This window comes from Homo sapiens, chromosome 3 (assembly GCF_000001405.40).
Source record: "Homo sapiens chromosome 3, GRCh38.p14 Primary Assembly".
NCBI classification, from domain to species: domain Eukaryota; kingdom Metazoa; phylum Chordata; class Mammalia; order Primates; family Hominidae; genus Homo; species Homo sapiens.
This window is the reverse complement of record NC_000003.12, coordinates 165,473,205-165,500,538: the sequence shown is the minus strand read 5'-3', so window position 1 is coordinate 165,500,538 and position 27,334 is coordinate 165,473,205. Positions and strand designations below refer to the sequence as shown.

The 27,334-nt window shown below is 34.1% G+C and overlaps 1 long non-coding RNA gene across 5 annotated transcripts in view; it reads right to left on the bottom strand.

Moving 5' to 3' along the window:
- LINC01322 (long intergenic non-protein coding RNA 1322) overlaps positions 1-27,334 on the bottom strand; it is a 332,490-nt gene that overhangs the window by 38,899 nt on the left and 266,257 nt on the right. For 3 of the 5 annotated variants that reach the window (NR_174098.1, NR_174099.1, NR_125764.2), the window contains one exon: positions 9,273-9,343. The exons of the other annotated variants lie outside the window; for them this stretch is intronic. This is a non-coding gene — a long non-coding RNA (long intergenic non-protein coding RNA 1322). The remainder of the gene's footprint in view (positions 1-9,272; positions 9,344-27,334) is intronic. 5 annotated transcript variants of the gene reach the window in all.

Sequence of the window (27,334 nt, the reverse complement as noted above, 5' to 3'; positions counted from 1 at the left end):
TTTAGAAAAAAAATTACCAACATAATATTTTTAAACCTCAATGGGTTTTCCTTGAACATCAGCAAATTGAAAAAACACACTAGGACAATTGGGAAAAAAAAATTACTAGAGAAGAAAGATGTTTAAAGAAGTCTGAGCAGAAAGAGGGAAAGAGAATAAAATAAACCCCGAATATGGGTGACATTCTCTTAGTACAAGATTCAATACAACATTCAACTGCAGAATGAAAAATTGGTACATAAATTTTGGAAATGAAGTTTAAAATAAAAGTAGAAGGCAGGGATAATCATAGTTGAGGGGAAAAAATATGGTGGATATTTTACTTTTTCACTTGGATTAGATTTTATCAGAATGAGTACTCGTATGTGCATACGCAAAATACAACACACAATTTAATTTTATCCAGTAACAAGTACTCTTTCACTTAGCATGATGCTTTGGAGATTCATCTGCATTGCTGGGTATATTAATTTCCTATTGTTGTCGTAACAAAATATCACAAAATTACTGGCATAAAACAACACAAATTTATTTATATATTTTTTTACACTTCTAGGTGAGAAATTTAAAATACTTTTGCTGAAATCAAGGTGTCAGGAGGCTGGTTTCTTCTACAGGCTCCAGGGGAGTATCCATTACCTGCTGCCTTCAGATTTCAGATGCTTATAGCATTCCTTGGCTCCTGTTTGTGTCATTTTAATCATTTTATCATTGTTTCTGTTGTCACATATTTCTCCACACCTTTTTTCCTCTCTCTGATTTCCTGCCTCCCTCTTATAAGAACCCCTGTGATTACATCAGGCCCACCAGATAATCCAAGATGATGTACCCAGCTAAAAATCATTAATTTAATCACATCTACAAAGTTTAATTTTCCAGATAAAGTAACATCACAGGTTCTAGGGATTAGGACATGGACATCTTTGGAAAGAAGGGAAGGCATTACTCAGTCTACCATGTTTCACATATCAGTAGTGAATTCCTTTTCATTGTTGAGTAATATGTATTATTGCATAGATTTATCTCAATGTATTTATCCATTCACCTGTAGGTGAATGTTTACATTCGTTTTTGTTTGAACATAAAGTTTGCAATTTTCTTAGGAAGACATCTAGGAATGAGATTCCTACTTTGTAAGGTAAGTATGTATTTAATTTTATATACAACAGTCTAACTCTTTTCCAAATTGCCTGTACTATTTTCCATTCCCTCCAGCAAAGTATAGGAATTCCACTTGCTCAATATCCTCACCAGCAATTCAAATTCTCAGGTTCTGTTTTGCTTTGTTTTGTTTTTCTGTCATCTGTTTGTTCACAAGTCTTTCAGGTGTACGGTGGTATCTACTGGATTTTAACTGCATTTCTCTGATGGAGCTCTCTGCACTTTACCATGCAAGGTGATATACAAAGGGAGCCTGTCTGGAGAAAGCAGAATCAATAAAATGGAAACTAGAGATACAGAGAGAATAACCTCTGAGTTTCCTCTAATCATTCCTTCCTTTCTTCCCTCCCTTCCTCCCTCCCTTCTTTTCTTTTTTCTTTTCTCCTTTCCTTTCCTTTCCTTTCCTTTCCTTTCCTTTCCTTTCCTTTCCTTTCCTTTCCTTTCCTTTCCTTTCCTTTCCTTTCCTTTCCTTTCCTTTCCTTTCCTTTCCTTTCCTTTCCTTTCCTTTCCTTTCCTTTCCTTCTTTGGTTCTTTCTTTTTCCTTCGTCTCTCTCCCTCTCTCTCTCTGTTTCTTTGTGCTTTCGTTTCCTCAGACCCGTGCCTTAGGTTCTGAGGTCTATCAATTTACTGCCCGTGATTTTGTGAAATTGATACCTTTAATTCCTATAATGAACACAATTTTGTTTGTAAAAGCTGGTTTAGGGAGGTTTATAGATTTGCCCAAAGGTACATTTATGTCTATGTGATACCAAAGACTATGCTTTTTCAACTTCACTAAGCCACCTCAAATAACTTTTTGGAGAATATTATTTTGTCCTTCATCTAATGTCTCTATTTATACATTACACTAACTCATAATTCTTTTTTTAAGAAAAGGGTTCTGTCATTAGGAAAGGTAACACATGAATAAAAGAAGAGATATTTAGAGACCAAGAAACAGGGATACAAATACCAAAGATGTCCAAAAAGAGGAGATGGTAGGTTGAGGGTTACTCATGGTCTAGAGGTGAAGTTATAAAATTATGAACTGGGATATTTTGATAGCAAGCTAATTTTATTTATTTATTATAAAATTATATCATAGAAAAATTAGCATTTATATATTAAAACTGTTTAAATAAAGAAGTATATATTAAACTCAGGAGGTATAGAAGCACAGAGGCAGAAGGTATAGATTGAAATGGCAGGTCTACATACCACTTTCCATGTGTTTCTTTTCCTTCCTTCCTTTTTTCTTTCTTTCTTTCTTTCTTTCTTTCTTTCTTTCTTTCTTTCTTTCTTTCTTTCTTTCTTTCTTTCTTTCTTCTTCCTTCTTTCTTTCCTTCTCTTTCTTTCTCTCTCTCCCTCTCTCTTCTTTCTCTTTCTTTCTTTCATCTTTCTTTTCTTTCTTCCTTTTTTCTCTTTCTTTTCTTTCTCTCTTTGTGCTTTGGTTTCCTCAGTAATAAAATGGAGATAATAGTACTAATTACCTCTTAGAGTTGTTTTGATTATTAAATGTGTTGATATCTACCAAGCACTTAGAATAACATCTACTGCATACTAAGTATTTTATATATGTTGAATAAATAAAGGTTTGCATAGCTAAACCTAACTGCTAATGGTGAGGCAGGAAAAAATATGAGGTCAAGGGCTCAGTCTTATTCAGTGACTAAAATAAACTAGGCATAGAACAACTATTTTTTGATGGTAGAATTTTTTTCAATAATTCTTCTTTTTAAGAAACAAAGTAAATAATTTTTGCTAATTTATTTTTTGAAAGCATTAACTTTAAAATTATTATTTTTGAAGTGTTTGACCTTGATTATCCAAATGAATACTACTTTAGTTAAATGTATTAATATGCTATTTTGCTTCCTAACTTTCACCCATAAAATATAATCATATTTTATCTTTGAATTTTAGTCATGTGAACAATATCACTAATCACATAGACAGTAACAGGCTAAAAATTTTAAGAACTTTACTAATAATATAGGTAAAGATAAATCATTTCATAATCCAATATACTAAATATTTCCCCAAGTGGAATCTGGGAGGAAATTTGGAGCATATATCAATGCTTTCAAGCAAATGGATTAAGATAAAAAACATTGAAATAATGCACTGTTGAATATAATTTTGAACTAAATTATGTTGATCTTTACTTAAGTTGATATTTTCTGTGCTTTCTTGTTTTCAATAAACATGTTAATTTTACAATAAAAATACGCATGTAAAAACATACACCTATGGATACACACACGCACCCATACATTAACTTGGCTGTTATTATGCTGAAAAATCATTAACCATCATTACCTTAACAAATCCTATTTCCAATGAGCTAGTGAGACTTGATTCTATCACAATCATTCCAGTTGACAATCAGCTCTGCAAATTTGAATATCTGCTTTTCTAACTTTGATTTTAGAGGCTCATATTTCCATTCATTATTTATTTTCTTTGTGCATATTTTTTCTTTTTAATTGAGGTATAGTTTACCATAAGTGAACGCTTTAACAAATTTATATATATTTATTCATATGCTCTAATTAACCACCTGCCACATTTTAGATATATTTCTAGCTTCCCAGCAGGCCCCCAGTCAATAATAACACAGCACTCCTGAGATAATGGTCCCGGAATTTTAATACACGTTGCCTTTCTCTCTCTAAGTATCAAAAAAACTTCTTATGGTGGCTTATGTTTAACTGCTTAATTGAATGACTGTCTTTTGAGGTAAGGCCAGACTTCCTACTTCAAATGAATTCTATATACTTCATGTAGCACACACGTAATTCACACTGTTCCAAACATATTCACTAATTTTATGAGAATTTAAGTTTATTTTATAATGCTCACAAAATATAACTGCCTCCCTTTTTTAAGGGTGTCCTTTGCTCCCAAAACACAACTGAGGGATGCTAACAGCCAGTTTTGAAACTAGCTTATCCCAAGGCTCTCCAAACTTGGTAACAATATGTCTAGCTGATATCTGACTAGATTATAAAAAATAAGCAGGCTGAAATTTATAGGCATGATTTATATTAACTTAAATGTGATCTATAAAATAATGGTCAATGTACAAAAGAGAACCATTTCTGATAAACAGTCAAAGATGGTTGTGATGAGATAATAAAAGGATTTAAAGCATAAATGAAAAAGCTGAGTTATAACTTAATAATAATTTTATAAATATGAAATATTATCAGAAGATGGAAAAGTGTTTTTCACATTTTTACTGAAGCCAGAACCAAAATAATGATGATGATAATAATAATCTGAATCTGAAACATGAGCACTTTAAATTTGAAATACTTAAAATATCCCTCACAGTGAGAATTGTTAAATATACAGAACCTCTCTCCAGAGAGCTATAAATGCAGAAAACGTATCAATCTGTCAGAGATAGTTTCAGTACTTTCTGGAAACTGAATAATGACCTCTAGAGATGTCTTTTATGCCTAAGATATTTCAGTTCCTTTTTGATAACATGTGTTAAAATATTTTTAAAGCATAATTTTAAAAAAGTTTATCTCCAGAAAATTAATGTTTAAGAATCAGCTTACATATCAATCTTTCTTTACCTTGTTAATAACCAATTCATAGAATATTTATATAAAACATATTTACAAGAAGTCACAACTAGAAAGATCAAAGTTTCAGATTTTGCAAAACAAAAGAGATGCTTTTGTTTGGTATAAACTTAAAACCAACTTATTCTTCAAACAGAAAGTGTCACATGTACTGTTAAATTTAAGCAAAACTGAACTTGACAATCTTTAGGAAAGTATATACAATACTATTGCTTTGCCTTACAAAGAAATTTTACAAAAAATAGCTAATTCCTGATCTAGTAGTAGATAAAATGCTATAATGTTAATAGAAAATTGTGATTGTTTAAATATTAATGAGTTACATATTTTGTAGCTGCAGATTAAAATAATCTTTATCATATGAAAGTACTAATTATTTCAATAATTATTTTGATTAACAATAAGTTAGAAATTTGCTTTATGGAACAGATTAGGAAGAAAGAAAATGAATGAATGAAAAAGTTTATAAGGCAGATACATGCAATTTCTCTAAAAAAAAAAACTTATTATACAAGTGTATTCTTATGCAAAGATACATCGTGGAGCTGTTGTCTTCAGTCCTGAAAACAACCGCAGGGCATCCTAAAAAAGAGATGAAAACCAATTATGAAATGTTGCATCAAGGATTGGTATGGCAGAACTGAAAAATGTCAACAATATAAGCAAAATTTTTGGACCACATACACAAAAAGAAATAACATATACAGGCATCCCTACAGCCAGTGAAACCTGTAACTATAGTAATTTCCTAGTGACATTCTATCAAAAACATGACTAAAGTTATCTCTAATAGAGGGGCCTTCTTGTAAACTCATCAACCTATCAGAATTCTGGACTGAATATGTGCATTTGTGGAAATGAAATTAAGGATGAGATTTATATAATGGACTTCTAAAAACCAAAACTCTGTATCTATCCTTTTATTGTCTCTGGGGTTAAAAAAAATACAGTTTTTAAATTTAATAATAGATATGAATACAAGAATTCTTAGGTGAATAATATTATTTATGACATTTCAGTTGGAAATAAAAATAGCATGTCAGAATCCTGCTGGAGGTCTTTACTACTCTGTGAGGGAAAACTGTCTGTAGGTAGCAAATTCTAATAACCATATAAATTTCATGTCCTGTCTTTGAATGACATATTTTTCCTGGATTATATTCTTAAGTCCTTTTTTCTACTAAATATATCCAATACTGAGTGGTTCAGTTCAACCCCATAAAATTCTAGAACTAAATGTTTTTCATTAAACATGTTGGATTCAATCGGTGGAGAATCATAAGAAATTATTACAAGTGGATTTTTAAAGAAGACTGACTCGTGTTCAAAATTATCCTCATTCAAATGGGTTAGAATGTTTCAGATACTCAAGGAAGATAATGAAATAACCTGAAGCCTTTAAAAGCAGTGATATTTTATTTTTTTATATTAGAAAAATCTGCAAGAATGATTTGATACTCAATGAGTCCCACAAGGTAGAAAAGTGGGTCCAAGGAACAACTAACACCCTTAGAGGATAATATCCCCAAATTCTTGGCATAACATGGCCAATGACAGATGACTCAAAAGAAAATGTAAAAGCTTCATATTTCATGTAATATAATAATGCTAAACCACAGGAAAATCCTTTTCAACTAATGTTTATGCAGTAATTCCTGGAAGCACAATTCTCACTCTATCTTGACTGTAGGTACAATTTTACTTTATAGAAACTTTTGTCTTTTAAAATATTTTGTCTTAGTACTATTACAGTATCTCTCAATGGCTTAAAGTGCTGCTTTAATCTTTCTAGGTAACATTCTCTTCCTAAATGATGAATTTAACTCAGATCTACAGAAAACAATCTACCCCAGAAACAAACTAATTATGAGAAATGCCAAAAAAATTAAAACACAAACACAATTATAAACAAAGTATGAATTGCAAAAAATAAAATATGGTACAGAAAGTTACATTTTTAGTCCTATAACAACATGATGAATTTCCTTCATTTTATGACAGATGATGACATTGTTAACTTCTACATAGACCCTAATACTGAAAATATTTAAAGTTGTAATCATTGTCATTGAACAAAAGTCTAAATGTTTTTAAGTACATGAAAGAAGTATATAAAAATTGATTATTTCTTTTTATGCAATTTTTTTAGTCTTAAAATATATTTTAAACATTATATAACTTACAGTAACTAATTCACATTGACAAACTTGATATTTACATTTTTACCTACCTTGCTTACCCTAAGATTTTTATGCCAATAAAAGATTGTTTTCAATTTATAATATTAAATATAAACTTTCTGTTCACTAATCACAAAGAGCAACTGAGTTGAAATATTACTTATAGAATGTAAATTATAATATAATCCTCAATTTAATAAATCTACATATAGTTAAATGTCAATCAATATATGACAAAATACGTGAACCAACCCAACTTACATATTTCACACAATAAAATGTTATACAATTATTTTTTAAAATAAAAATAAATAAAAAATGTAAAATCAAGATACTTGCATGGTTACCATTACATCCTAGGCCTTTATTTTTAATTTAAACTGGAAATTATATTTGACACATAATAACTGCTTTTTAAAAAGTTGTCAAAAAACAGCCTATGAGCAAATGCTAACACCAAAATTCTGTCAGCTCTACGACTACCACCTCCACCCTACGAGCCACCCAATCTTAATTGGTATTGACCCTAGACATGGAAGTTTCTCGGATTGCATAATATGATGCTATTTATGGGCTTACCAGTAATATGAGAGGAAAGACTATATTAATAATATGAGCAGAGGTTTACTATTTTGTTGATTCAATCATTCAGTTCAATTCAGTTCATTTTCTTTTCTTGGTTGTAAAAGTAGTCTTCATACTTTCAAACTGTTCAACATAAACTTTTAAATCACAGACACACAGTTCCTGAAAGAATTTTTATTCTTACATCAAGCCTCATCTAGAAACTACAAATGTCAAAATTATTTCTACTCTGCTGAATCAGCTCAAGAATAAAGTTGCATTTTTTCTCCTAATATACTTGAAGTATTCTAAAGATGTGTTGAATCCTTCAGTGTGAACATTTGGTATGACTTATAAAATCTAATTTACCTTTTAAATCTTTCTAGCATAATGAACTGACAAGTCATGTAATTGTCTGTTTCATAATTTGATGTCCCTGAAATATACACTTATCAATATTTTCAGAAAGCTAACTTTCCAAACAGGAATCGTGGCAAATGGTAATTAAACTATTTACTTTTCTGTAGAAACAACCAGGTTTATATAAACATTGGAAGTCCAGTTGAAATTTTTCAGTTATTCTGACTGGAAATAAACACCTGCAGTTACTCCTGATCCCATGACAAAATCTTTTTGTGAGTGAGAATTGTGTATTGTTATCAGAACCCTAATATAGACAAATGGCTTTTATCTTAGGCTACGTAAAAGTATATTATTGTTTATCAGTTTATTTGATAAATGTTTCTTCTTTAAATCCAAAAAGGAAATTATGGGTTTATTTGTCTTTGAATTATGGAGTCATTTCATTATGACTGAAGTTCAATTCCCAGTCTTTTTGTCCCTTTATTATCATTATAGCTTAGTAAGTGGCTGCAGAAAGAGAACCTGAAAGATATATATATATGTATGTGTGTGTGTATATATATATATATGTGTGTGTGTGTATATATATATATGTATGTATATATATTATTTATTGCCATGGCATCAAAGAGTGGTGGAAATAAAGAAAAACTTAGAAGTAGGTAGAACAGGTACAGTGTTTCCTTACCAAGTTTCTATCTTATGGCCTTCTCTGAACTATTGTTAATTTCCTTTACTTATGCTGACTTCTGATGACAGAAAATATCCTGCTAACCACCATACTCAAGTCTACAATACTGAAGATGTTTCCACTGTATGTATTTGTTATCTATTGCTGTGTAATAAATTTTCTAAAATACCTTGGTTCAAAACAAAACATTTATCATCTCACAGTTCTCTCAGGTCAGGAATCTTGTTTTGCTCAGCGTGGTGGTTCTGGCTCAACATCTCTCAGGAAATTGTACGCCAGTGTCGCAATTATCTCAGAGCACAACTGGGGAAAGATTTCTTCCAAACTCATTCACATGCCTTTTGGATGACCTCAGGTCCTTGCTGGATCCCGGCTGAAAACATCAGTTCTTTGACATGTGTGCACCTTAAAACACTGTAGCTTGATTCCCTCACAACAAGTGAATGAGAATGTAAGAGAAGGCACCCAAACCAGACCACAGTCTTTCATAACCTAATTAGAAATGACAGCCCATCACTTTTGTAATATTTTGTTTATTAGAAACAAGTCATTAAATCAACCACCCTTAAGGGGAAAGAATTACATGACAGTATAAATGCTAAGAGGTAGAGATCTTTAGGAGTCATGTTGGAGGCTGCTGACCATACCCATGTTCCAAAAAAAAAAAAAAAAGGAAAGGAGAATTTTCACTTCATTCCTCAATTAAATGTTATCTTAGAATTAAAACTAAAAATTTACCTTATTTCACAAGTTCCCATATGTGCTCTATCTTGGTTTTAGGAAATGATGGAATATGCTTGGCTTTCATTCTAGAGTGAGGAGAACAGAAAAATATAAAAATACAACAATATAAGTCTCATGAAGAAAAAAATAAAACAGAGTGATAGGATAGCATGATGGGCTGATGAAAGAGAGGCTAATTATTTTGATTAGGCAAGGTTTATATGAGAAAGTACTTTTAAAATGAGAACTGAATAACAAGGAATTAGCCTATGTTTTCATAGGGGTATTGTCAGGAGTAGAATATTGCAGCAACGGGAAGAATAAAGCAAAGATTTAAGGCATGAAAATCCTTGATAGGCAAATTATAGGAGTTTCTCGAGACTGATATAAAGTTAAGAGAACCAGATCTTCTAGAACCTTGTATATCATGGTAAGGATTTAGACTTAGTAGAAGTGCAATGGAAAGCTACTGTGTATTCTGAGTGGTTGAATACCTATTTATATCTATCTATATCTATATATATTTTAGAGACCGTCTCACCCTGTCACTCAAGCTGGACTGCAGTGGCACAATCATAGCTCACTGCAGCCTCAACTTCTAGGCTTCAGTGATCCTCCTGCCTCAGCCTCCCAAGTGGCTAAGAATATAGTCATGCCTCACCATGCCCAGCTATTTTTAATTTTTGTTAGCAGTGGGGTCTTGTTATGTTGCCCGTGCTGGTCTTGCCTCAAGTGATCCACCCACCTCAGCCTCCCCAGTAGCTAGGATTACAGGCACAAGCCACCACTCTGGCTGATACCGATGTACTTTTTAAAAGACCATTCTAGGACTGTGTGGAAATGTATAGAATATGGCCACAAAAGATCACAAAGCTATTTCGATATTCCACATAAAAGACGAAGGTAGCTTGAACTAAGCAGTAAAGATAAAGAGACAGAGGGATATAAAATATATTTTGAAGGTAAAGCAGATAATCTTTACTAATAAATTAGATCTGTGAAGATATGGTGAACGTGTATTTTGGCCTCTAACACATTTGAACATATTTCTATAATTTTGTAATGTGCCAACTATGAGTCTCCTCTGATTAAAAGGAATCTGAAAATGCATTTTCCTACACCTCCTTGGAGGTGAAAAACAGGGTTATAAACTAGGTTATGCCTATCAGGCATACAGAAGACAGACTGGTACAAACCAGCAAAACCTGAGGCAGCAAGTATAAATATGTCATCTTAAAAGCCAGGAGAGTGTGTGTCAAGAAGTAGGGAACGTTCAATTATATTGAATACTTCTGTGGTTTGAATACAAAGAGAATGAAGATGTGAATATTCTTTGGCAACAAAAAAGTCACAACAGACAAGTGGACAGGTGTAATTGGAAGGGTGATTTGAGTCACATATGGCACGGAAGAGACGTTAGGAAGAGGAAATAGTAATTATAAAGATATACATTTTAGATTAAGTTTTGCTATTATAGGATCAGGGAAAATCAATGGTAACCATGGGAAGTTAAAGGCTTATAATAGATTTTTAAAAAGATGAGTAATATTAAAATAATGTTTGTATAATGATCTAGAAAAGAGGAAGATGCTGATCATGCAAAAGAAAGAGGTTGTATTCGTTATGTATTTGTCAGCAACAATGTATTGAGTGATAATTATGTGCCAGGCACTGTTCTACAGATAGAAAATATGGAATTTACTTTCTGTTTTTGGCTGAAAAAATAATAAACAAGGAGTATTAAGTAAAATATATGTTGTATCAACTGATTAAAGAGAAAATAATGCTGGCAATTTAAAATAGAGTGACCAGGTAAGATCTCACTGAGAAAATGAGTAAAGGCCTGAAAAAAATGGAAATCACATTATGTGAACACCTGAGAGAATAACTTTCCAGGAAGAGGGAGGAGCAAGTATAGAAGTCCTAATTCAAGAACGTGCTCGATTGTTTTTTTTTTAACTTAATTATTATTTTCAATTGTTATGGGTGCATAATAAGTGTATATATTCATGGGGTAGATGTGATGTTCTGAGAAAGTCATACCACGTGTAATAATTACATCAGGGAGAAACATTAAGAAGGGCAATGTGGGGCCGGGCGCGGTAGCTCACGCCTGTAATCCCAGCACTTTGGGAGGCCAAGGCGGGCGGATCACGAGGTCAGGAGATCGAGACCAGCCTGGCTAACATGGTGAAACCCCGTCTCTACTAAAATTACAAAAAATTAGCCAGGTGAGGTGGCAGGCGCCTGTAATCCCAGCTACTCAGGAGGCTGAGAGCAGGTGAATGGAGTGAACCTGGGAGGCGGAGCTTGCAGTGAGCCGAGATCTTACCACTGCACTCCAGCCTGGGTGACAAAGTGAGACTCCGTCTCAAAAAAAAAAAAAAAAAAAAAAAAAAACAAGGGCAATGTGGCTGAGGATAAATAAATCCGAACAAGGGCACAACATCAAAGAAGTAACAGGCCAGGCAAGGTGGCTCATACCTGTAATGCCAGTACTTTGGGAGGCTGAGGCAGGAGGATTGCTTGAGTCAAGGAGTTTGAGGCTGCAGTGAGCTAGCATCTGGCCTCTGCTCTCTAGCCTGGGTGGCAGGGTGAGACCTTGACTCAAAAAAACTTTAAAAAAAGCCAGATCTTTGGGGCTTGGTAGATTATTTAAGAACTTAGAATGTACATTTGTGATATACTTTTGGAATAAGAGCCCACTTAAAGTAAGCCCATGAGGGAATTGTAAGAGATAAACAGGAAACAGGGAGAAAAAACTACACTTTCAGGAAGTGTTGCTTACAGAGATGGGGAAAATATAATGAGAACTGGAAGAAAATATCAAATCAGTATGAGTTTTTTAATGGAAGAAACATCAAAATATGTGTGTGCTATTAGGAATGGCCCATAGGCTCAAAGTCTTTTTCCTATATCTCTGACTGTCCCAGTAGCTCAAAGTCTTTTCCTCTATCTCTGACCGTATCCTCTCAGCCTCCCAAGTAGCTGGGATTACAGACACCTGCCACCATGCCCGGCTAATTTTTTGTATTTTTAGTAGAGACGGGGTTTCGCCGTGTTAGCCAGGATGGTCTCGATCTCCTGACCTTGGCAGCACTTACATCTATAAAGCCTGCAGCACTTATATTTAACATATAATTTAGCCTTCTCTTTCACACACGCACACGCGCGCACACACACACACACATATACACGGGGAACACTGAGCATGAAATGCCATATCTAAAAATATATACTCAACTATACTTCTTTGCCTTGATTTTCAAAGAAAGAAGTTTCTTTCAGTCGGAAACAGTGTTTCTCAACACCACTTCTGACCCCAAATATTTGCCTTTTCCATACCAAGCAATTCTTGAATTCTCTAGCACCAACTTGACATTCAACAATTCAATTTGATTCTAACATTACCTACAAATTCAGCTAATTGCAAATTTGAGGATTCACACTATTTCCATTTATGTTCATTAATTATCTAGAATAGCTCACAGAATTCATAAAAACACATTATCTATGTTTATTCTTTTATTATAAACGTTTCAACTCAGGAATAGCCAAATGGATGAGATGCATAGGGTGAGGTATAGGGGCAGGGGGAGAGATTGTAGGTGCTGCTTCTGTTCAGCACACATCGCCCTTCCAGTACTTGCATGTTTTCACCAACCCCAAAGCTCCCAGGCTCCTGTCATTTACAGTTTTCCTGTTTAAATAAAGATTTCATTATATAAACATAATTGATTAATCGTTGGCCATTGGTGATTTAACTCAACCTCCAGTCCCTCTCCCCTCCCTGGAGCTTAGGGTATTGTGCTAAAAGTCCAAACCCTTTTGTCTTAGTCTTTTTGATGACCAGAACCCATCCTGAAGCTATCCAGGGAATCTTCCTGAATCCCATTAAAATAAAAAAAGACAGTAAATTCCAAGAGTTTTAGAAACTCTGTGCCAGAAAATTGAGACAAACACAGAATATTTATTTTTTGTTAAACTACACAGTCTAACCCTATATTGCAAACCTCTTCTTAAATTACATAGTCTCATATTCTGTAAAATATTCTTTCTCAATTATACCTGCTCCAATATTTTCTGATAATTTTTTACCAAAATTATAAATCATAAACTTTTTACTGTAAAAGCCACCCCATATTGTCATCTAACCATTATTGCCCTATCCTCCTTTCTTCCATCAGCATAAGCTTCTAAAAGGAATATTCTACATTTACTCTTTTTACTTGTCTACACCATACATTGCTCAATACTTTCCATTCCTATAGCTCCAGTAAACTCTCTCTTATTGAAGTCATAAGCAGCTCTTCAATATGATGGACTCATTTCAGGGAACATACAATTAATAGTAGTAAAAAACTATTTTCAAACAACAAAACAAAAACTAAAGAAACTATCTCCTGTGCAGTTTCTTAATACAATATTTGACCCAATTCTATGCTTGAAAAGGATGTGTGTATAGAATTATATTAGTATGTGATTGCAGGTATACAAATAGAGAGCTTTTGGAGTAAGAACAAATGTATTGTTAGTGCCAGTTTCATTTGGTTTTGTATCTTTCTTAGAAGGGATGAACTACCTTTATCACAGCAGCTCTTGCTCTAAAAAATAATATCATGGATACTTGGAGGTTTCAGATCTACCTCATTTAAAAGCAGGGATGACTCACTCTATCAATGATCTCAAGTACTCTGATTTCTAGATCATGTCATTTACTGCATTTTCACATTTGTATCTGCTTCTAACAATGGGCAACTTCCTAAAATGCTTTTGAAAACACCACCCCATTCCCAAAGTCAAATTTTTCTTCTCATCTTTGGAGTAAAATGACTAATTAAGGAATCATGAAAACCCAAGTTAAGACTTGGGGAAACAAATTTGAAAGTGTTGGCAGTTTACCCATTAGTCAAAGAAGTACAGTACTTGTGAGCAAAGGTATTAGCCAAAATTAGGTTTAGATAATTAATTCCTATGAAATCCTAAATACATCTTAACATATCAAGGGACCAGAGAAACAAAGTATTTGATGGAAATTCCAGCTATAAAAGCACCTGAATGTTAAAGATGTCTGCAAATTTCATTCCTAATTTTTTTTTCCATTTAAGGTACTCCACAAGTTAAGAAGAGGTTATGTCACAGTAAATCCATCGTAAGTTGAAAATATCAAAGTCAAAAGTCCAATTAATACACCTAACCTACTGAACATCGTAGTTTAGCCTAGTTTACATTAAACACCATCAGAACAAGTAGCCTAGACTTGGGCAAAATCATCTGGCAACACACTACAGAAAGTTTTGATGTTTTGTAAAGGCAAAATATCTTTGGACCAAAAGGTTTTGCTTGTTTTTCTTTTGCTCGTAAAATTTAAAGTTATTCTGCTTCTTTATAGTTTAAAACTTTAATGGTTATTGTTTCAAACAATCTCTAGAAGAAATTGTTCATCTATTTTTAATTTTGCCTACATAGTTTTTTGTTTGACTTAGATGCATCATCTGGAGTAATTTAAAGGCTGCTTGACCTCTTAGCAGTATTACTATCGCTACAAACTCCTCAACCCTTCACTCTCTCCCCAACTGGATTAATTATTGTAGTAAAAACTAAGAAAAATACACAGATCTCTTTGGGGAAAAAATGTGTACATGTAATTACTAGAAGCACTTTTTAGCATTTACGGGATTCTTGAATATTTAATGTTAATATATACTGAGGCCTTTGGAATCCTGACCTGAAACTATATTTTCTTATTATTTTACTTTCCGTAATTTCTGAAGTAAAATTTTCTTATAGTCTGCAAATTAATAAACCATACTCACATTGGTTCATATTTATTAATAAACCATACAAACATTTATATGTTTCTAAATAAACAGAAATAAATTTATTATTTCTGTTTATTTAGTAAATGGAATAAATTATACCCAAAACAAATTAAACAAGTTAAAGTTGAATTACTTTTTAAATAAAAATAAAATTTAACTCTAGGTTTATTTTTATTTTATTTTATTTTTGCATTTCTAAGATTTGTTTTAATTGTGTTAACTTAATTTCGTTAAAATCAATTTATAATTGTATTAAAAGATACGTAACATAAAATGTATCATGTTAACCATTTTGAAATATACAATTCAGTAGTAAATACATTCACATTGTTGTGCACCCAATCTCTAGAACTTTTTCATTTGGAAAAACTGGAACTGTATTTTTATGAAACGACAACCCCCCATTTCTCCCTTCCTCCAGCCACTGGCAACCACCATTCTGTGTTCTTTTTTTAATTTGAGTACTCTGTATACCTCATGTAATTGGAATCATATAGTATTTGTCTTTTCTGTGGCTGTTTCATATGGCATGATATCCTCAAGATTTATTTATGTTGTTGCTAGCATGTATGAGAATTTCCTTCCTTTTTAGGCTGAATAATATTCCATTGTATGAAAATAACGCATTTGTTTATTCAGTCATGCATCAATAGACACTGGCCTAGCTTCCACCTTTTGACTAGTATGCATTATGCTGCTATAAACATGTATGTGCAAATATTTCTTTGAGATCCTGCTTTTAATTCTTTTAGATATATACACAGATGTAGAATTGCTGGATCATATGGTAATTCTATTTTTAATTTTTTGAGGAACTGCTGTATTATTTTTCATAGTAGCTGTACCATTTTACATTCCCACCACCAGTGCTTAAAAGGTACCAATTTCTCTACATCCTAGCCAGCACTTAATATTTTCTGTTTATTTGATAGTAGTAATTCTAATGGATGTGAGGTGACATCTCATTGTATTTTTTTTTTTTTTTTTTAGACAGAATTTTTCTCTTTTTGCAGAGGCTGGAGTGCAATGGTGCTATCTCGGCTCACTGCAACCTCCGCCGCCCAGGTTCAAGCAATTCTCCTGCCTCAGCCTACTGAGTAGCTGGGATTACAGGCATGCACCACCACACCCAGCTAATTTTGTGTCTTTAGTAGAGATGGGGTTTCACCATGTTAGTTAGGCTGGTTCAAACTCCTGACCTCAGGTGATCCGCCTGCCTTCACCTCCTGAAGTGCTGGGTTTACAGGTGTAAGCCACCACGCCTGGCCCATTGTAGTTTTGATTTCATTTCCACAATTATTAGTGATGTTGAGCACTTTTGTGTGTACTTATTGTCCATTTGTATATCTCTTTAGAGAAAAGTCTGTAGTTATTTGCTCATTTTTTAAACGGGGTTGATTTTTTTTTCCCCATTGAGTTCTAGGAGTACTTTATATATTCTGGATATTAACCTCTTACCAGATGTATAATTTGCAAATATTTTCTCCCTTTCTGTAGGTTGTTATCTTAGTCCATTTTGTGTTACTATAATAGAATACCTGAGACTGTGTTATTTGTAAAGGAAAGAGTTTTATTTAGCCTATGGTTCTCCAATAAGGGTACTTCAAGATTGGGTAGCTGCATCTGGATGGCTTCTGGTGAAAGCCTCATGCTGCATTACAACATGGAGAAGAAGCAGAAGGGAAAATAGGCGTATGTAAAAAGAGACCAAACATGAGAGGCAGCCTCACTGTGTAACAATCTGCTGTGTGATAACAAATCACATCTCATGAGAGCAAGAAAGCGCGCCTGAAAAAAAAAAAAACTAACAAAAAAACGTTAATTCTTCTTAATGACCTAATCACATCTTAACAGCACTGCCTCCCAACACTACTACCTTGGGTACCAACACATGACATGACTTTCAGTGGAGACAAACCATATTCACACCACAACATTCTCTCTCTGGCTTCCCCAAAACACACTCCCTTCTTACAATGCAAAATACAATCATTCCATCACAATAGTCCCCAAAGTCTTAACTTATTTCAGCATCGACTTTGCATCAACAGAAAAGTCCAAAATCCAAAGTCTCATCTGAGACTCAAGTCAAACTTCTTCCAGCTGTAAGCCTCTAAAATCAAAAACAAGTTATCTGCTTCCAAGGCACAATGGTGGAGCAGGAAATGGGTACACATTCTCATTCTAAAAGGGAGAAATAGGAAGAACAGAGTAACTTTTCCAAAGCAAGCTAAAAGCCCATCAGGGAAGATATTAAATCTAAAGGTTAGAGAATAATGTTTTTTGACTCCATGACCTACATCCTGAGCACACTGGTGTAGGAGATGGGGCCCCAAGGCCTCAGGCAACCCCACCTCTCTAGCTTTGCTTGGTGCAGGTTGCACAGCTGCTCTCATGGTTTGGAGTTTCATACCAGTGCCTGCGTCTTTTCCAGGTAGGCACTGCACAATGTTAGTGACTTGACAGTTTTTGAGCCCCATTTTAATGGCTCCACAGGCATTCTACTGGTAAGGAATCTCTGTGGTGTCTTTACCTGTGCAGCAGGTTTCTGTCCAGGCTTCCAGGCAGTCCATACATCCTTTGAAATGTAAGTGAATCCTACTGTAGCTGCTGCTCTAGCATTCTGTATACCTACAGAATTAGCACAATGTGGACCCCATCAAGATCTGCCACTTGCATGTTCTGAAGCAGGGGGCAGAGCCATGGGTGGAACCACATCAGGGGCCACCAGAAAGATGGCTGTGTGGCTAAGGGGCACTGTGCAAGAATGCAGAAGCAGGGTTCTAAGGCAGCCATGGGCAGCAAGCAGGTGAAGGGCATCAGGGACTTAATCCCCAAAACAATTGTGCCCTCATAGGCCTCTGGGTCTGTAATGGAAGCTGCAGACTTAAAGATCTCTGAGATGACCTTAGGGCCTCTTTCTGATTGTCTTGATGATTAGCACCTGGCTCCATTTTAAACATGTTAATTTCCTTAGCAAGTGGTCCCTGGGCCACATAATTGATTTTCTCTCTGAAAATGCTTTTTTATTCTACCACATGGCCAAATGTAAATTTTCCAAATCTTTCTTTTCTTCTTCTCTTTTCTTTTGCAGCTCTCTGGAAGCAGGTAGAAGTAAACATGCACCATTCTGAGAATTTTGCTGCTTAGAAATTTCTCCTACCAGATACGCTCTTCTATCACTCTTAAGTTCAGTCTTCCGGCTGGGTGCAGTGGCTCACGCCTGTAATCCCAGCACTTTGGGAGGCCGAGGCAGGCGGATCACAAGGTCAGGAGATCAAGACCATCCTGGCTAACACGGTGAAACCCTGTCTCAACTAAAAATACAAAAAAAAAAAAAAATTAGCCAGGCGTGGTGGCAGGTGCCTGGAGTCCCAGCTACTAGGGAGGCTGAGGCAGGAGAATGGCGTGAACCTGGGAGGCGGAGCTTAAAGTGAGCTGAGATTGTGCCACTGCACTCCAGCCTGGGTGACAGAGCGAGACTACGTCTCAAAAAAAAAAAAAAAGAAAAAAAAAAATTCAGTCTTCCACAAAGCCCTAAGGCATAGACACAATGCAGCCAAGTTCTTTGCTACTATGTAACAAAAATGATCTTTACTCTAGTGTCAGTAAGATGTCCATCATTTCCATAGGCCAACTCATCAAAATGGCCTTTAGTGTTTATATTTCTATCAGCATTCTGGCCAGACTATTTAACCAGTCTCTAAGAAGTTCAAGACTTTACCTAGTCTTCTCATCTTTGGAGTCCTCACCAAAGTTGCCCTTAATGTTGTCTTCATTGCAATACAGGATTTTTCTAGCCTGCTTCTCCAAATTCTTCCAGTCACTATCAATTACCCAGTTAGAAATTTTATATTTTCAGGTATCTATATAACATAGTTCCTCTTCTCAGTATCAATTTCTGTATTACTCCATTTTGTGTTGCCATAACAGAATACCAAGGAAAGAGGTTTATTGAGCACGTGGTTCTCTAGGCTGGGAAGTTCAAGACTGGACAGCTGCATCTGGAAGCTTCTGGTAAAGGCTTTGTACAGTATGAAAATATAGAGAAACAGAAGGGGAAGCAGGTGTTGTTAAGAGACCAGACATGAGAGACAGCCTCATTTTATAACAGCCAGGGTAACTAAATCAGTCTGAGGAGAGCAAGAATTTACTCTTGGAAAAAAGACATTAACTTCTCTTAACGATCTAATCTTAAGGCACAATGTCTCAACAATGTCTCACTTGGGAACAAGCATCAACGTGAGTTTTGATGGGAACAAACCATCTTCAAATTATAGCAGTTTACTTTTCACTCTATTAATTGTGTTCTTTGATGAATGAAAGTTTTTGATTTTGATCAAGGCCAATTTATCTATTTCTTCTTTTTTGTTATCTGTACTTTTTATGTCATACCTGTAAAATCATTGCCAAACTCAATGCCATGAATTCTTTTATCCATATTTTCTCCTAAGAGTTTTATATTTTAGCTCTTATGTTTAAGTCTTTGATACATTTTGAGTTAAATTTTGTACATGGTGTAATATAAATATCCAACTTTTGCATGTAGATATATTTTCCCAAGCAAAATTGTTGAAAAGACTGTTCTTTTCCCATCGAATAATTTTGGCACACCTGTAAAAAATAACTGGATTATGAATTCAGGGGTTGATTTCTGGACTGCCTATTACTGCCAATTAGTATTTATGCCTGTACCACACTGTTTTGATTACTGTAGCTTTGTAATAACTTCTGAAATTAAGGAGCATAAGACCTACAAGTGTGTTTTTTCTCAAGATTGTTTTGGCTATTCAGGTCCCTTGAGATTCCATGTAAACTTTAGGATGTATTTTTCTATTTCTGCAAAAAACATCATTGAAATTTTTATAGGGATTTTCACTAAATCTATGGATCATTTTATGTAGTATTGACATTTTAACATTATTCTAATCAGTGAAAATGGATTTCCATTTATTTATGTCTTCTTTAATTTCTGTCAGCTTCATTTTATAGTTTTTAGTGTACATGTCTTTAGCCTGCTTGGTTACATTTATTTCTAAGTAAATGAAATTGTTTTTTATATTTCCTTTTCAGATTGTTCATTATTAGTGAACAATGATATGCAGCTAAATTTCATGTGTTGATTTTGTATTCTGCAACATTGCTGAATTTAAATTAGAACTGAGCCCTATTAGTTTTTTGCCACATTTTTAGGATTTTCTGTGTGTAAGATCATGTCTTTTAAAAGAAATAATTTTAGTTTTATTTTTCCAATTTCAATGTATTTCATTTATTTATTTGTTGCCTAATTTCCCTGGTGAGGAGTCTATTAAATAGAGGGATGAAAGTGGGTATCCTTACATTGTTTGATTCTAAGTTTCTTTTTAAATTATAAACACAGAAATAAAAATGCTGAACATATTTGTTTGATTGATGCAATTGAATTTTATGTTCTAAAGGTATGTATTTTATGTTTATGTCAATTTGCAAAATAATTATAATTGTCTTTATTGTGGGAATTTGGGATCAGTTACTCAATCAAATGATTGCTCAGTTCTCTATTTTACTTCTCTCAGTAGCAAAGGTATAACAGAAGGAGCTTGTGGAATGCTCATTAAGTTACAAACAGACTGGTAATTTAACAATGGACTGCCAATAGAACAATAAAGCCTGTGTAGCTTTATTGTCTTGATACAGCGCATAATTTTTGACAGAAGCAATAGATTTTTTTCATTTTTCTAAAAAACTTGTTCTCAAGATAATATTTGTGTAGCTCTGCAGGAATAGACATCATCTGCTGAGAGGCATTCATAAAAATAAATAATGGGGGAATTCCCCTCCAGCCCCTATACACACTTTCTTTGAAAAGCAGTGACCATCACTGCATTTGGCTTTTTTAATTGGCACTGATTTCCTTTTTTGGCAAATGAAACTCAATTTTTCATACAAGCCAGCCTTCACTGTCTAATCCTAAATATAGGGGCAGCTTTATCACTTACATTTGGCATGGAAGGCTATACAAATCTATTTGGCTTATTTAATTCACTGAAAGAGGTAATTTTCTAAATAACTTCTATTGGCCTAAAGGAGGTAAGGTGCTGCCAGGTGGGTAGTTTATTCTCATTGGCACAATCATATCAGGACATGAACGGGATCCTCACTCTGGGTTTCTAGACACACAAACAAGCAGAACATGCAACTAAGCAAAGGGATTTGTACTCTTTCTGTATTGGTAAGATTCTCTTAACCTTTGCTGTATGGATATATATATATATATCCCTTGAACAACACAGGTTTGAACTACAAGGGTCCACTTATACACAGATTATTTTTAATCAATATGTTTATTTATTAAGGTAGATATGTAGCAAATGCATAAAATACACATAGATACTAGTCTATTTACATGCTAATCAATCATTTATGTTATCAGTAAGGCTTCCAGTCAATAGTAGGCTATAGTAGTTAAGTTTGAGGAGTCAAAAGTTATGCATAAATTGTCAATTGCATGAGAATTGGCACCCCAACCCCAACATTGTCCAATGGTCAAATGTATATAAATATATATAAATGTATACTGTATATAAAATAATATTTCTGTTATATTAATGATTAGGATTTTTAAATGTTTGTATTTTGAAATATAACACATATATATAATGCATAAAATGAATCTATAATGCAACAAATTATCACAGAAATCAAGCATGTAATGCTCATCCAAAAAAAGAAATAGACCACAAGAAATAGTTCTTTCTGTGCAATCTTCACTCCAACCATCTCCTTCCTCATGAAAGGTAACCACTACTCTGACATCTGATTCTAAAGTTCAAATTTGCCATAGAAATCCTTAAATAAATTGAATAATATGTATTCTTTGTTATCTGACTTGTATAATTATTTATCTCTCAATAATACTTTCACTTGTCTGAGCAGGGTTCTTGCTAATTTTTCACTAGTTTAGTTTTTAAAAATTTGTTCAATTCTATTTATTGGAAATGATGTTCTTTCATGACTAAAAAGTACTGGTGAGGTTGTGGAGAAAAGGGAACACTTATATACTTCTGGTGGAAATATCAATTAGTTCACACTGTAGAAAGCTTTTGGAGATTTCTCTAAGAACTTAGAACAAGATTACCATTTGAGCCAGTTATCCCATTATTGGGTTTATACCCAAAGGAATATAAATCATTCTACCATAAAGACACATGTATGCGTATGTCCATCACAGCACTACCTGCTATTTCACAATAGCAAAGACATGGAATCAACTTGAATAACCATCAATGGTAGGCTGGATAAAGAAAATGTGGTACATATATACCATGGAATACTACACAGTAGTATAGGACAATGAGATCATGTCCTTTGCGGCAATATGGATGGAGCTAGAGGCCATTATCCTAAGCCAACTAACATAGGAACAGAAAATCAAATACTGCATGTTCTCACTTGTAAGTGGGAACTAAACACTGAGTGGGAACAGCAGACATTAGGGATTACTTGAGAGTGGAGGTTGGGAGGAGGAGGAGGCTCAAGAAGCTACCTATCGAATACAATGCTTATTACTTGGGTGATGAAATAATCTGTACACCAAGCCCCTGTGACACACAATTTGCCCATGTAACAAACCTCCACATATACCTTCAAATCTAAAATAAAAGTTAAGAAAAAGAAAAAGAAAATGGTGTTTTTAAATTTATTTCATTTTTATTTTTGTGCTTGGTATGTGCATATACTTTTGATATTTGTGTGCTGAGCACTGAGCTTATGTTCAGTATTATTCCCAAACTCACTTCTTCATTTTAAAAATTTATTTGGAGATTTACTTCTATTTTCTGGCATATCATTATGCTGTCTGTAATGACACTTTTATTTCTTATTTTACAATATACATTACTTTTTCTTATTGGTGTTTTTATTATATTGGGTTGGACCTCTAGTAAGATGTTGAATAGAAGTGATGATAACATGTATAATTTTTTCTTATTTTAAATAAAAATAATTCAACATCATACCATAAAGTATGAGGCTAGCTACATACCTATTGTACGTACTCAATATTGCATTAAGAAAATATTCTTCAATTTCTGGTTTTCTAAATTCTTTTTCATGACTAAGTGTTTAATTTGTTAAGGGAGTTGTATATGTTGAAATCAAATGACTTAATATAGTACTAAAAAACATGGGTCATTTTTCAAATGTTAAACTAAATTTATATTTAGGAGATAAACCCAAGTTGATTATGATATGCTCTTCTTCTTATATTTCATTGCATGTTTTGGTTAATATTTTATATTTTTGCATCTGTGTTCATGATTTAAATTGGCCTATAATTTTTACCAGTGATAACGCTCTTGACAGAATATGTTATCAAAATTTGTTCCTATTTTTCCTAGTCTTGGGAAGAGTCATGTAATACCAGCATTAATTCTCCCCTACATATTTGATTGAATTCATTGGTCATATCATCTGAAAATGGAATTACCTCTATAGAAAAGTTTTAGATTTTATATTAAATTCTTCAATAAATATAGTAATATTTGATTATTTTATTTCATCTGTGTCAAAAGTAGCAAGCTGCATTTTTTCTAGGACTGTCCATTTCATCTAAATTTTTTAATGTGGAGTAAAATTTTTCATAATATTCTATTGGTGTCTTCTAAATTTTCAGTTTCTTATATTAGATAGCCTCCCTTCCTTTCCTTCCCTTTCTTCCTCCCTCCCTCCCTCCCTTCCTTCCTCCCTCCCTCCCTTCCTTCCTTCCCTCTCTCCCTCTTTCCCTCCCTCCCTCCTTCCTCCCTCCCTCCCTTCCTTCCTTCCCTCCTTCATTCCTTCCTTCCTCCCTTCCCTCCCTCTCTCCCTTCCTTCCCTCCCTCTCTCCCTCTCTCCCTCCGTCGCTCCCTTCCTTCCTTCCCTCTCTCCCTCTTTCCCTCTCTCCCTCTTTCCCTCCCTCCCTCCTTCCTCCCTCCCTCCCTTCCTTCCTTCCTTCATTCCTTCCTTCTTCCCTTCCCTCCCTGTCTCCCTTCCTTCCTTCCCTCTCTCCCTCTCTCCCTCCGTCCCTCCCTCCCGCCCTTCCTTGCTTCCTTCCCTCCTTCCTTTCTTCTTTCCTTCCTTCCTTTCCTCCCTCCTTCCCTCCCTCCTTTCCTCCCTCCTTCCCTCCTTCCTTCCTTCCCTCCCTCCCTCCCTCCTTCCTTCCTTCCTTCCTTCCATCCTTCCTCCCTTCCTTCAAGTTTTACAAGGCATTTATCAATTACAAAGACTGTCAAAGGTACAATTCTAGGATTTGTTGATCACCTTTTTATTTTTGCATTCTTAAGCTGTAATCTTATATTATTTCCTTGCAGATAACTTCTTTTGTCTTAATTTGCTCCTTTTAAGGAAGCTTAGATCATTGATTTTCAAATGTTCTTTTCTAAGATATCAATTTAAGCCTATAAATTTTCTACAAATTTTCATTCTGGTTTTTCTTTTATTTATGGGTTATATACAAGTATCTCAGTTCTATACATCTAGTGACTCATATGTGTATATATAGATATAGAGATAGAGATACAAAATTATGTGTTTATGTCTAGCAGAAATATACCATGATCAAAGAATAGTCTGAATATAATTTCGAATTTTATAAATGCCATTATGGAGTCTGAAGTTGCTGATCACAAACTAAAAATAAGTCAGTCAGGACAAACTTTTAGTTAAGTTCTTGAAATCTTTCATTAAAGTTGTACTATTTTTTTTCTGTTTCTATAACCATTAGTAAGGAGTGATAAACTTTCCACTATAATTATACATTTTTCTTTTACTTTTTTCAGTGCTGTCATGTTTCAAGGTTTTATTATTGGCTGCATTAAAAATTTGAAATTTTAAATATTCCTAGTGAACTATGTTTTTCCTTTAATGAGGTATATATTCTAATGTCTTGGTATGCATTCTGCATTAAAGTTTACTTTTTTAGCTATAGTTACACTAGTGTTCTTTGGGCTAATGTTTTCATGTTCTAACTTGTACTAGCTGTCTATTTCAATCTTTCTATGTTCTTTGATTTATCGTATATCTTCTGTATACTTTTTCTAACTTAGTTTGAGAACTTTGTTTCTAATTGGACAACTTGGTCCAGTTAATGTAACGTAATCACCAATAAACTGAAATAAATCTACTATTGTACTATTTGATTTTTATGTTCCACTACCTCCTTTTTTGCCTGATTTCATATTAATTAAATATTTTTATATTATTTCATTTTCCCATTCCTTAGATTATTAGTGATAGAACCTCTTATTAACCTTTTAGTGGTTTCCCTAGAAATTATAAATATGCATTGCTAATTTATCAATGTCAGTAGATAATGTTATCTGATACTTTTAAGCTTGTTTAAGATCAAACCTGGACGTTAATACTCTTCAAATGTGTTCAAGCTCCTCCTGTTCTTTGTGATCTATTCTAATGCTATTTTTTAATTTTCACAAGGTATTTTTATCGTTTCATGTACTCAATACTTACCATTTTCATTGCATCTAAAGTTTGCCTGTAACTCCAGATTTTTATTTTGAATAATTTTCCTGCTGATTGAAGAACATCATTTTGCATTTCCTTTATGACAGTACTGGTAAATATACATTTTTTACATTTTTCTTTTCTAATATTGTTTTTATTTCACCTTCATTGTAAGGTAATATTTTCTTTAAATAAAGTGTATAGAGGGAAATTTATAGCACTAAATGCCCGCAAGAGAAAGCAGGAAAGATCCAAAATTGACACCCTAACATCACAATTAAAAGAACTAGAGAAGCAAGAGCAAACACATTCAAAAGCTAGCAGAAGGCAAGAAATAACTAAGATCAGAGCAGAACTGAAGGAAATAGAGACACAAAAAACCCTTCAAAAAATCAATGAATCCAGGAACTGTTTTTTTGAAAAGATCAACAAAATTGATAGACCACTAGCAAGAATAATAAAGAAGAAAAGAGAGAAGAATCAAATAGACGCAATAAAAAATGATAAAGGGTATATCACCACCGATAACACAGAAATAAAAACTACCATCAGAGAGTACTATAAACACCTCTATGCAAACAAACTAGAAAATCTAGAAGAAATGGATAAATTCCTGGACCCTCCCAAGACTAAACTAGGACACCCTCCCAAGACACCCTCCCAAGACTAAACTAGGAAGAAGCTGAATCTCTTAATAGACAAAAAACAGGCTCTGAAATTGAGGCAACAATTAATAGCTTACCAACCAAAAAAACTCCAGGACCAGATGGATTCACAGCTGAATTCTACCAGAGGTACAAAGAGGAGCTGGTACCATTCCTTCTGAAACTATTCCAATCAATAGAAAAAGAGGGAATCCTCCCTGACTCATTTTATGAGGCCAGCATCATCCTGATACCAAAGCCTGGCAGAGACACAACAGAAAAAGGGAATTTTAGACCAATATCCTTGACGAACATTGATGCAAAAATCCTCAATAAAATACCGGCAAACCAAATCCAGCAGCACATCAAAAAGCTTATCCACCATGATCAAGTGGGCTTCATCCCTGGGATGCAAGGCTGGTTCAACATACAAAAATCAATAAACGTAATCCAGCATATAAACAGAACCAAAGACAAAAACCACATGATTATCTCAATAGATGCAGAAAAGGCCTTTGACAAAATTCAACAACCTTCATGCTAAAAACTCAATAAATTAGGTATTGATGGGATGTAATTCACAATAATAAGAGCTATCTATGACAAACCCACAGCCAATATCATACTGAATGGACAAACCTGGAAGCCTTCCCTTTGAAAACTGGCACAAGACAGGGATGCCCTCTATCACCACTCCTATTCAACATAGTGTTGGAAGTTCTGGCCAGGGCAATCAGGCAGGAGAAGGAAATAAAGGGCATTCAATTAGGAAAAGAGGAAGTCAAATTGTCCCTGTTTGCAGATGACATGATTGTATATCTAGAAAACCCCATCGTCCCAGCCCAAAATTTCCTTAAGTTGATAAGCAACTTCAGCAAAGTCTCAGGATACAAAATCAATGTGCAAAAATCACAAGCATTCTTATACACCAATAACAGACAGAGAACCAAATCATGAGTGAACTCCCATTCACAATTGCTTCAAAGAGAATAAAATACCTAGGAATCCAACTTACAAGGGATGTTAAGGACCTCTTCAAGGAGAACTACAAACCACTGCTCAATGAAATAGAAGAGGATACAAACAAATGGAAGAACATTCCATGCTCACGGGTAGGAAGAATCAATATCGTGAA